This window comes from Homo sapiens, chromosome 22, assembly GCF_000001405.40.
Source record: "Homo sapiens chromosome 22, GRCh38.p14 Primary Assembly".
In the NCBI taxonomy this organism is placed as follows: Eukaryota; Metazoa; Chordata; class Mammalia; order Primates; family Hominidae; genus Homo; species Homo sapiens.
In genome coordinates this window covers 40,713,086-40,725,320 of record NC_000022.11, presented here as the reverse complement: position 1 = coordinate 40,725,320, position 12,235 = coordinate 40,713,086, and the positions used below count along the sequence as shown (strand labels likewise).

Genomic DNA, 12,235 nt, shown 5'->3' with positions numbered 1-12,235 from the left:
CACCTGGACTGAGCCCTTTCCATGGCGCAGATGGCAAGTTAAGGATGGGGGAAGGAAAGGGCGAGAAAACTAAAGGAGAAGGAAGATGAGGGTGGCAGAAGAAAGGGGACCAAAAGATGCAAACATTAGGGCAAAAACATGAGGGTTGAAGTGAAGTCTTCAACCAAATCCAGCATATAAAAAATCTCAGTTTGGGCCGGGTGCCATCGCTGACACCTGTAATCCCAGCACTTTGGGAGGCTGAGGCGGGTGGATCACCTGAGGTCAGGAGTTCAAGACCAGCCTTACCAACATGGTGAAACCCCATCTCTACTAAAAATACAAAAAATTAGCTGGGCGTGGTGGCAGGCGCCTGTAATCCCAGCTACTTGGGAGGCTGAAGCAGGAGAATCGCTTGAACCCCGGAGGCAGAGGTTACAGTGAGCCGAGATCGTGCCACTGCATTTCCAGCCTGGGTGACAGTGCAAGACTCCGTCTCAAAAAAAAAAAACAAAAAAAAAAAACATGCTTGAGACTTTAGAAACACTTCTCTCAATAACTCATGGGTGGAAGGAGAAATCATGATGGATATTTAAATTATTTAGAATTAAGTGATAATGAACATGCCTCATATCAAAACTTGTGAGATGCCTTAAGGTCATACTTAAAGGGAAAGGTATGGCCTTAAATGCTTATAGAAGAAAGGCTTAAAGGTTAATGAGAGATTATGGGAGGTCGAGGCAGGTAGATCACATGAGGTCAGGAGTTTGAGACCAGCCTGGGCAACTTGGCAAAACCTGTCTCTACTAAAAATAGAAAAATTAGCTGAGTGTGGTGGTGCGCACCTGTAATTCCAGCTACTCGGGAGGCTGAGGTAGGAGGATTGCTTGAGCCCAGGAGGCGGAGGTTGCAGTGAGTGGAGGTTACAGGCACCCGCCACCAAACCCAGCTAATTTTTGTATTTTCAGTAGAAATGGGGTTTCACCATGGTGACCAGGCTGGTCTCGAACTCCTGACCTCAGGTGATCCACCCGTCTCGGCAGCCCAAAGCGCTGGGATTACAGGCATGAGCCACTGGTGCCCGGCCACTTTTTTTTTTTTTAATTATAAAATTCTTATTGATTTTAAATTTTAAAAAAATCTTTACTCTGTGCCTATGATTACCCAGGCTGTTGCTTTTTAACATATGGTGAGTGTCCTGGACACCGCCTGTCTGTTGCTAGCTGCTGCCATGGGATGAACCGCCGGCCAGGCTACACTGATTTATACAATATTAGGTTTCCTAAAAGAGGAAGGCCTACCTGTGGCCCTCACCTAAGAGCTTTCGGGGCAATTCGTGAAGTAAGTATACATAAAAAAGATTCCTACCATTGCATACCAAAAAAAAAAAAAAATGGTTACCGTCATATCAACGTCATGTTGCCAGGAGCCCCAGGTGCTCCTGCACGCCAGGGCCCCCGCTCCGAATGCTGCCCATTGCATCGTTTTCCACCTCCCTCTCGCCCGGAGCCTCTTCTGAACCCTTCTCATTGGAATCCCTTTCAATGGCAAACCTCATTCCTCATTCTACTCCCTGAATGCTCTCTCCTGGTCCTCATTCTTCCCTTGGAACACCGCCCCCTGGTATCGCTCTTGGAAGGCTATTTCTCATTCACACCTTTCAGACCTAGAGGTCTAGGGGTGAGGTTTGCCTCCTCCAACACCTCCCACAACCGACTACCCCTCTGTTCCACCTCCCACACGAAGCCTCCCTGGCCCTACCCTCTTCTCCAGCCCCACCGCCTCTGTCCCACTGTCCCACTTCAGACCTTATCACGCTTGATCTTGATATTACAAGAGCCTCCTTGGTCCTCCTCCACCTGCAGTCCAGGTCCTCCTTTCCTTCTCCACACTTCTCCACACAGCAGGCCATTCCCAGAGGGATCTTTTTTTTTTTTTTTTTTTTTTGAGACAGAGTTTCGCTCTTGTTGCCCAGGTTGGAGTGCAGTGGCATGATCTTGGCTGACCGCAACCTCCACCCGCCAGGTTCAATCAATTTTCCTGCCTCAGCCTCCCAAGTAGCTGGGATTACGGGGTCATGCCACCATGACCAACTAATTTTTGTATTTTTAGTAGAGACAGGGTTCCACCATGTTGGCCAGGCTGGTCTCGAACTCCTGACCTCAGGTGATCCACCCTCATTGGCCTCCCTAAGTGCAGGGATTACAGGCATAAGCCACCGTGCCCAACCCCAGAGTGATTTTTCTAGAAGCACAGATTGTCCTGGCCCTGTTCCCAGTGGCTTACCTTTCAGGGAGGTCTCCTTTACCTCCCCTGGGCAGTTAGGTGGTCGCCCCCTCCGGCTCCTCTAGCACCAAGGCAAACCTTGGTCACATTACCTGTCACATCCCTGGCACATCTGTCAACTTTGAGGAGAGGAAACAGGTAGGTGTGGCCATGCAAGGTGAGACCTGTGGATCCCCAGCTTCAGCAGCACACGAGGGCTTGTTAGGAAGGCAAAATCTGGCCAGGCGCGGTGGCTCACTTCTGTCATCCCAGCACTTTGGGAGACCGAGGCAGGAAGAGTTCGAGACCAGCTTGGGCAATGTAGTGAAACCTCATCTCTACAAAAAAATGCAAAAATTAGCTGGGCATGGTGGTGCATGCCTATAGTCCCAGCTACTCAGGAGGCTGAGGTGGGACGATCAACTGAGCCACAAGAGGTGGAGGCTGCAATGAGCTATGATTGTGCCACTGCACTCCAGCCTGGGCAATAGAGAGACCCAGTCTCAAAAAAGAAAAAAAAAAAGAATTTTAATTTGCATTTAACAAGGTCCCAAGTGATTTGCTTGCACTTTATTTATTTAGTTTTTTTTTTTTTTTTTGAGACGGAGTTTTTCGCTTTTGTTGCCCAGGCTGGAGTGCAATGGCACGATCTTGGCTTACCACAAACTCCTCCTCCTGGGTTCAAGCAATTCTCCTGCCTCAGCCTCCCGAGTAGCTGGGATTCCAGGCGTGCGCCACCACGCCCGGCTAATTTTGTATTTTTAGTAGAGACAGGGTTTCTCTATGTTGGTCAGGATGGTCTTCAACTCCTGACCTCAGGTGATCCACCTGCCTTGGCCTCGCAAAATGCTGGGATTACAGGTGTGAGCCACTGCTCCCGGCCTTGTTTGCACTTTGAAATTTGAGAAGCACTGAATACTGAAGAGAAGCATCAGCAAGGTGAGGGGACGATTTCCAAGTTCAAATAATTTTCATTGCCTTAGTTTGGGAGAGCTTGGGGTGAGAGTGGGTGAGGACAGCCAATTGAAATGACCTACTGTAGGCTGGGCATGGTGGGTCATGCCTGTAACGCCAGCATTTTGGGAGGCCGAGGCAGGCAGATCACTTGAGGTTAAGAGTTCGAGACCAGCCTGACCAACATGGCAAAACCCTGTCTCTACTAAAAGTACAAAAGTTAGCCGGGCATGGTGGTGCATGCTTGTAATCCCAGCTATGTGGGAGGCTGAGGCAGGAGAATTGCTTGAACTCAGGAGGCGGAGGATGCAGTGAGCCAAGATCATGTCACTGCACTCCAACCTGGGTGACAGAGCAAGACTCTGTCTCAAAAATAAAAAAATAATAATAATTGAAATAACCTACTGACATCCTAGAATGAATAAAATCAATGCAAGCTTTGAGGCTTAGATCTGGAAGAGATCCTATTATTCTGGAAACAGCTGACAGTTTCAGATTGATGCTGTGCTGCAGTGAATAAGGCAGACAGATGCCAGGATATGTCAGCAAAAGACCTGTCACAGCATCAATTAAGAGAAATGTTGAACACTCACCCCTTTGTCGGAGCCAGCATGAAGCAGGAGCACAGCAGCAGGAGGGCGAGAAGAGGGGAGACAGCTCTGTCCTGGCAACAGGAAATTGCCTCGGGAAGATTGATTTGCACTTAGTGCAAAGTCACTGTGAGGTCAGAAAGGGCTGTGTGTTGAATCTTTTCTGCATGTTCGACTCACCCGGGTCGTCCTGCCCAGTATGCACTTAGCACTCCTATTACTCAAAGACTCATCACAGGCAATGGCACTTAAATAATGGACCCTTAAGCCTAACCTTCTGAAAGGCTCCGGTTGTCTTTTATTAATAAAAACTAGATCTCTAGGGAAGAGCTAAGCTCTCCTACAGGGCAGTCAGTGTGGGGGCAGCTTGGTGGGGTGGGGGAAGGATGAGGGGGCTGTATTAATAGCCTTTGGGCACCCAGGAGAATGCTGCTGAGGAGAGCGTCACTGTTGATGTGCATATCTAGCTCCATGGGCCAAGTACCGCAGTGGAAAGTTCATGATCCCACGTGTTCCACTTCCTAGCCGTATCACGCTGGTATTCTCATTCCTACAGCTGAAAAACCTGAAGCAGAGGTTGCATGACTTGAGGCATCCCACTGCTAACTAATGGCAGAGATGCTGATATGGGTTGAATTCTGTCCCCTAAAAAAAGATATGCTGAAGTCTTAGACTATAACCTTATTTGGAAACGGGGTCATTGCAGATGCAGTTAGTTAAGATGAGATCATACTGGAGTGAGTGGAGCCTTTAATCAAAGATGATTTATGTCCTTATAAGAAGTGGGAGGCCGGCTGGGCACGGTGGCGTGTGCCTGTAATCCCAGCACTTTGGAAGGCTGAGGCAGGTGGATCACCTGAGGTCAGGAGTTTGAGACCAGCCTGACCAACGTGGTGAAACCCCATCTCTACTAAAAAAAAAAAAAAGGAAAAATTAGCTGGGTATGGTGGTGCATAACTGTAATCCCAGCTACTTGGGAGGCTGAGGCAGAAGAATTGCTTGAACCGGGAGGCGGAGGTTGCAGTGAGCCGAGATCTCACCATTGCACTCCAGCCTGGGCAACAAGAGAAAAACTCCATCTCAAAAAAAAAAAAAAAAAAAAAAAGAAGTGTGAGGCCAGGCAGTGGCTCACATCTGTACTCCCAGCACTTCTGGAGGCCAAGGTGGGAGGATTGTTTGAGCCCAGGAGCTCGAACCAGCCTGGGCAACATAGTGAGATCCTGCCTCTACAAAAAATTTTAAAATAAGTTGAGTGTGGTGGCACACTTCTGTAGTCCCAGCTACTTGAGAGGCTGAGGTGAGAGGATCACTTAAGCCTGGGAAGTGGAGGCTGCAGTGAGCCTTGATCGCGACACTGCACTCCAGCCTGGGTGACAGAGTGAGACCCTGTCTAGAAGGAGAAGGAGGAGGAAGGAAGAAGAGAAGAGAGGAGACACACAGGGGCAGATAGCTATGCGACAGTGGAGGCAGAGATAGCAGCGATGCAATTCCTACTTGCTAGGGAAGCCAGGATCACTGGCAAACACGAGAAGCTGGAGATTGAAGGAAGGATCTTCCTTCCCTACAGGTTTTGGGGGGAGCATGACACTGCCAACACCTTCATTTTGGACTTCCAGCCTCCAGAACTCTGAGGCAACACATTTCTGTCATTTTAAGTAACTCAGTTTGTGATACTTTGTTACTGCAGCCCTGGAAAACAAATACAGGTGGGATTCAGACTTTGGCCTGCTGAGCCTGTGGTTTTCCCGTTGATGTCGCCCTGCAGCCATGACATGGACAGAGCTACTTGGGATGCTGGGATCGCAGCATCCGTACTCACCTGCTCTCTGGAGCCCTCCTGCGCACATGGTAACATAGTTGTCCACAGTCACGTGGAGAAGGGGGATGCTGCTTGGAAAGCTTCAAAAATGGAGTAGACTCCTACCCAGGAGGAAGCCAGACTCCTGCATGGAGGGACCCTTTACATCCCATGATTTTATAAAGAAAGAAAGCAGATGACGTGTTGTCGTCAGCCATATAGAAGCAGAACCTGAGTCAGAGATCCCTGTGCAAGGGATTTATGGAGAAAGGGTTCCCAGCAAAAAAAAAAGAAAGAAAGAAAGAAAGAAAGAAAGAAAAAAGCAGCCGGGCACGGTGCCTCATGCCTGTAATCCCAGTACTTTGGGAGGCCGAGGCAGGTGAATCATCTGAGTTCAGGAGTTCGAGACCAGGCTGGCCAACATGATGAAACCCCATCTCTACTAAAAATACAAAAAGTAGCCGGGTGTGGTGGCAGGCACCTGTAATCCCAGCTACTCAGGAAGCTGAGGCAGGAGAATCACTTGAACCCGGAAGGCAGAGGTTGCGGGAGCCGAGGTTGCACCCCTGCACTCCAGCCTGGGTGACAGAGCGAGACTCCATCTCCAAAAAAATAATAATAATAATCAAAAAGGTCTTAATACATGCCAGTCATCATTCTAAGCACTTTACATATGATAACTCATTTAATCCTTGCAACACCCTTAGGTATCATTATCCCCATTTCTCAGAGGAAGAAACTGAGGCTCAGATAGCATATGAGTAATTTGCAGGAGTTCACACAGCTGGTCACAGAGCTAGGATTTGAACCCAAGTTATCCAGTCCCAAAGTCTGTGCCCTTAGGCACTATGACAGGTCTGCAAAGTGACACCCAGCAGACACACATTTAAAGGTAAATCATTGTTACTGGTATCCGAGCCACTGATCCTAGCTTGACTTGGGGGGTGAGCTCTACAGAGGCTGATTCTCTGTAATCCTACCCTCCCCTTCTCCCCATCAGGGCCCTTCTTAGCACTCTGGGTGGTTGCTCCAACCATGCACCTGGAAGCTTGGGCTTGGGTTACAATGCTCTGTTTATGTGTTTGTCTCCCCTGATTGCCTGCCAGTGATTCTTCCTTCTCATATCTCAGCACTTAACATAGTTCTTGATATATATTAGGTGATAAAAATTGTCTCTTCTTTTAGCACTGGAGCCATGAGATACCCCTGAGAAGTGGTGAGCTTGTGGCGTGAAGAGCTGGGTGACCTCCTCTTCCTTTTGGTGGCCTGAGCCAGAGATGTCACTTCCTCACCTGCTCTTTTCTGCTTTCATGTCTCAAGCTGCCTGGGGGCTTCTTTTTTTAGGTCTCTTACACTCGACTAATCTGCGAATGGGCCAAGAACCCACAATGGGGAAAGGACAGACTCTTCAATACGCAGGTTGGGAAAACAAAATATTCACCTGCAGAAGAATTAAATTGGAGCCTTGTCTCACATCTTATATAAAAATCAACTGAAAATGGATTAAGGACTTTAACATAAGATGTGAAACTAGAAGAAAACATAGGGGAAAAGCTTCTTGACATTGGTCTGGGCAATGATTTTTTTTTTTTTTAATATATGATCCCAAAGCTCAAGAAAAAAAAATAGGTGAATGGGGCCAGGCACGGTGGCTCATGCCTGTAATCCCAGCACTTTGGGAGACCAAGGCGGGCAGATCACTTGAGGTCAGGAGTTCAAGACCAGCCTGGCCAACATGGTGAAACCTCGTCTCTACTAAAAATACAAAAACTAGCCAGGCATGGTGGTGGGCACCTGCAATCCCAGCTCCTTGGGAGCCTGAGGCAGAAGAATCACTTGAACCTGGGAGGCAGAGGTGGCAGTGAGCCAAGATCGTACCACTGCACTCCTGCCTGGGCAACAGAGTGAGACTTCGTCTCAAATAAATAAATAAATAAATAAATAAAACAAAAATACAAAAATTAGCCAGGCATGGTAGTGCATGACTGTAATCCCAGCTATTCGGTAGGCTGAGGTGGGAGGATCAACTGAGCCCAGGAGGCAGAGGTTGCAGTGAGCCAAGATCAAGCTATTGTATTCCAGCCTGGGTGACAGAGTGAGACACTGTCTCAAAAACAAAACAAAAAACGACCAAAACAACAAAAAAAGATGAACGGGGTGAAGAGACAACCTATGGAATGGGAGAAAATATTTGCAAACCATACATCTGATAAAGGATTAATAACCATAATATATAAGGAACTCAAACAACTCAGTAGTAATTAAACAAATAACCTGATTTAAAAACAGGCAAAGGACCTGAGCAGGCATTCCTGAAAAGAAGACTTACCAATAGCTAACAGGTAAATTAAAAAGTGTTCAGTATCACTAACCATCAAGAAAATGCAAATCAAAACCACAATGAGCTATCATCTCATGTGTGTTGGAATGGCTATCATCAAAAAACAAAAGATACCAAGTACTGGTAAGGATGTAGAGATAAGCAAGCCCTGTACACTGCTGTTTAACAGTGGATTTAAATTTGTACAGCCACTATGGAAAGCAGTATGGAGGTTCCTCAAAAAATTTAAAATAAGTTGGGCACGGTGGCTCATGCCTGTAATCCCCGCACTTTTGGAGGCTGAGGCAGGAGGCTCACTTGAGGCCAGGAGTTCAAGGCCAGCCTGGGTAACTTGGTGAAACCCTATCTCTAACAAAAATATAAAATTAGACAGGCACAGTGGCATACACCTGTAATCCTAGCTACTCAAGAGGCTGAGGCAGGAGAATTGCTTGAACCTGGGAGGCGGATATTGCAGTGAGCCGTGATCACACCACTGCACTCCAGCCTGGGCAACAGAGCAAGACTCTGTCTCAAATAATAATAATAACAATAATAATAATAACAATGGGAAGAGACTTAATCTATGGTCTAAGAAGTAGAATTGCAAACATGCTATGTGACTCAGTCTCCAGGGCTTCTCCCTTGGCAAAATAAATTTAGAGGGTCCTGAAATTTTGTTTCCTTTTCTTTTTTTTTTTAGATGGAGTTTTGCTTTTGTTGCCCAGGCTGGAGTACAATGGTGCAACCTCGGCTCACCGCAACCTCCACCTTGCAGATTCAAGTGGTTCTCCTGCCTCAGCCTCCTGAGTAGCTGGGATTACAGGCATGCGCCACCATGTCTGGCTAATTTTGTATTTATAGTAGAGATGGGGTTTCTCCATGTTGGTCAGGCTGGTGTCGAACTCCCGACCTCAGGTGATCCGCCTGCCTTGGACTCCCAAAGTGCTGGGATTACAGGCGTGAGCCATCGCGCCCAGCTCCTACCAGTGTTTTCTGTCGCAGACCTGTGTCTTTCCTTCAGGGCTCTTACCACCAGCTGTACATATTGCTCATTTGTCTGTCCGCCAGTTTAATGACTGTCTTCCCATAAAATGTGAGATCTGGGAGGGAGAGAACCATCCTGCCTCTCTTGCCCTTGTATCTGCAGTCCTTAGCACTGTGCCTCGTACATAGTAAGTTAATACTCAGTAAATATCTGCTGAATTAATGCTGACTTTCTATAGATCAGGCATAGTAATTTCATCTCCTTATCTTTATTGGCTTGTCAAAATTAATTATATATTTTTAAAAAGCTCTCCATACTTTGGGAGGCCTAGACGGGCGGATCACTTGAGGCCAGGAGTTGAAGACCAGCCTGGCCAACATTGTGAGACCCCCGTCTCTACTAAAAATACAAAAATTAGCCGGGTGTGGTGGCCGGCGCCTGTAGTCCCAGCTACTGGAGAGCTGAGTCACAAGAATTGCCTGAACCCAGGAAGCAGAGGTTACAGTGAGCCGAGATCCTGCCACTGCACTCCAGCCTAGGCGAAAGAGTGAAACTCTGTATCCAAAAAAAAAAAAAAAAAAAGCTCCTTAGAAGGGAAAAAAATGAAAAGTAACATATTTTCCCCCTTTAATGCCCCTCAACTGCAAAGGTAAGCACTGACAACAGCTTATTTTGTCTCCTCACAAACTTGTTTTAGCCCTTTTTAAAAAACACACACACACAAATGCAATAAGTATAATTCCATTCTGCAACTTGACTTTTTTTATGTGGTAAAGAACATACAACATAAAAGTTACCATCTTAATTTTTTTTTTTTTTTTGATACAGAGTCCCGCTCTGTCCCAGGCTAGAGTGCAGTAGTGCGATCTCGGCTCACTGCAACCTCCACCTCCACCTCCCGGGTTCAAACGATTCTCCTGCCTCAGCCTCCCAAGTAGCTGGGACTACAGGTGCCCGCCATCACACCCAGCCAATTTTTGTATTTTTAGTAGAGAAGGGGTTTCACCATGTTGGCCAGGATGGTCTTGATCTCCTGACCTCGTGATCCTCCCGCCTCAGCCTCCCAAAGTGCTGGGATTACAGGCGTGAGCCACTGCATCTGGCCTTAATCATTTTTAAGTTTAGAATTCAGTAGTTATAGTCACATTGTTGTACAACCAATTTCCAGAATTTTTTCATCTTGCAAAGCTGAAACTCTATACCCATTAAACAACCCCATTCCTCCCTGCCCCGAGCCCCTGGCAACCACCCTTCCCCTTTCTGTTTCTATGAGTTTGAACAACTTGCTTTTTTTAACTTAACAGTACATCTTTCCATATGGGTACATAAGCTCTAGCTCATTATTCCTTCAGCTGTCTGGTGGCTTAGCTGATATTTAACCCATCTCCCATCAGTGATGTGAAGGTCGTTTCCAGCTTTTTGCTGTTATTATACAAAAATGCTGTCATGCCGGGGTTAAGCCCCAGAACCGTGAGATCAAAGGGTATGCACTTGTATTGGGCCAAATTGCTGCTCAAAGAAGTTGTACCAGTCAACGCTCCCACCCACAGAGGAGGAGGGGCTCTTCATTCTGCACGGCGATCAGGTTCTTCCAAGTGTAAACCAACAAGTAAATATTGTGTCATCCCAGGGACAAGCAGGACCAAGCCTTGAAAGGAGAGGTCAGACTCCCCTCTGTGTTGATTTCCCCAGGAGAAGCTCGGGAAATGAGCCGGCCGAAGACGAGGGAATCAGTGCAGTGAGATGTACAGAAGGAAGTCTAATTCAAAAGCCACATAATGAGTGGACTTGGAAGAAGCTCGTTGCTGTGGCAACCTGATCCCCCTGCTGCCAAGAACGGGTTTTCTTCTTTCTTCTGCACCTGGCAGGAGCTCCTTTTCCTCCACATTACTTGAGAAAGAAAGACAGACTTTGGCATTCTTTTACTGAGGTCAGTGCACTGTTTCTGTCAGTGGCCAGCCATCACTGAGAGAGCACGTACCCCCGACAGGTGCGGACCTGGCCGAGCCCTGTCCCGTGGTGGGTGGACAGAATGCACCCAGTGTCTGGACTATAACACTGATGTCATGGGCCATACCAACTTGGGCTGCCTTTTCTGATACTCCCCAGAGGTGCCGGGCAGGCTAAGCCCCCATGGAGACTGCTCTGTTTCCTTTACAAGAAAAGCTTTTCTAGATTTTTGTTTAAGAATGCCAAAGTTCTGGCCAGGTGCGGTGGCTCATGCCTGTCATTCCAGAATTTCAAGAGGCAGAGGTGGGAGGATCGCTTGAGGCCAGGAGTTCAAGACCAGCCTGAGCAACATAATAAGGCCATGTCTGTACAAAAAAAAAAAAAAAAAAAAAAAAACACCAAAGTTCAAGGGCCCAGTGAGCTTGCTTGAGCAAGACTCTTAAACCTGCTCAGGTTTTAAGTTACTTCGCCTGGCTTCTTCCAGGGCATTTAACCTTGAAAATGCTGATTGAGGTGGGGCTTGGTGGCTCACGCCTGTAATCCCAGCACTTTGGGAGGCCGAGGCGGGCGGATCACCTGAGGTCAGGAGTTTGAGACCAGCCTGGCCAGCATGGTAAAACCCTGTCTCTACTAAAAATACAGAAATTAGCTGGGCTTTGGCAGGTGCCTGTAATCCCAGCTACTTAAGAGGCTGAGGCAGGAGAATCACTTGAACCTGGGAGGCAGAGGTTGCAGTGAGCCGAGATCGCGCCATTGACTCCAGTCTGCGCGACAAGAGCAAGACTCCATCTCAAAAAAAAAGAAAAAGAAAAAGAAAATGCCGATCGGAATAGAGCTGCAGGAGGGATGACAGATGGGTAGGTAGAGTTAAATTCAGTTCTTTTCACCTGTTCTCTGTATCGGGCTCTGTGGTAGGCACACAATTTACATTCCCCTTCATGTAATGCTTTTCACGGCTTAGTAAGGTGGAAATTGTTATCCCATTTTTATAAGAATGAAATCTAAGGCTCCACAAGCTTAAGTGTTTTGCCTAAGATCTCAGTGCAGGAATATGAACCCAGGTCCACCTCATCTCAAGGTGGTGTCCCTTCACCACTACCTTCCACAGTGAGGTTGTTCGGTCAAGCAAACCAGGCAGGAGAGGGATCGTCTCTTCTCTTGAGATGATGGCGGCCAATCATTAAATCTCCCCCTAAGCAAGGAAGTCTTTAGGGACTTGACCTCCAGCCTCACCTGAAGGTTCCCTTGTCCTCAGAAGTCCCATCTCTCTCCTTCAATCAGGTAGTGGGATATAGCAGGGAAAGCATAGTGCGGAGCCAGATAGACCCAGGTTCAAATCCATGCGCCCTGTGGACTCCCTGATTTCGTCCTTGCTATAGAATTGAGGGAAA

The 12,235-nt window shown here is 47.4% G+C and overlaps 4 annotated features.

The window, feature by feature from the left end:
• Window positions 2,834–3,447: an enhancer, noted in NCBI's record as "H3K27ac hESC enhancer chr22:41117878-41118491 (GRCh37/hg19 assembly coordinates)". NCBI's record gives its function as "activates a minimal SCP1, AML or CMV promoter by ChIP-STARR-seq in primed H9 embryonic stem cells {active_cell/tissue: H9 hESC(primed)}" and the evidence as "EXISTENCE:reporter gene assay evidence [ECO:0000049][PMID:30033119]".
• Window positions 9,180–9,346: a silencer, noted in NCBI's record as "fragment chr22:41111979-41112145 (GRCh37/hg19 assembly coordinates)". NCBI's record gives its function as "represses an EF-1alpha promoter that drives an FKBP-Casp9 reporter gene in an ReSE screen in K562 erythroleukemia cells {active_cell/tissue: K562}" and the evidence as "EXISTENCE:reporter gene assay evidence [ECO:0000049][PMID:32094911]".
• Window positions 10,168–11,042: an enhancer, noted in NCBI's record as "NANOG-H3K27ac-H3K4me1 hESC enhancer chr22:41110283-41111157 (GRCh37/hg19 assembly coordinates)". NCBI's record gives its function as "activates a minimal SCP1, AML or CMV promoter by ChIP-STARR-seq in naive H9 embryonic stem cells {active_cell/tissue: H9 hESC(naive)}" and the evidence as "EXISTENCE:reporter gene assay evidence [ECO:0000049][PMID:30033119]".
• Window positions 11,043–11,918: an enhancer, noted in NCBI's record as "H3K27ac-H3K4me1 hESC enhancer chr22:41109407-41110282 (GRCh37/hg19 assembly coordinates)". NCBI's record gives its function as "activates a minimal SCP1, AML or CMV promoter by ChIP-STARR-seq in primed H9 embryonic stem cells {active_cell/tissue: H9 hESC(primed)}" and the evidence as "EXISTENCE:reporter gene assay evidence [ECO:0000049][PMID:30033119]".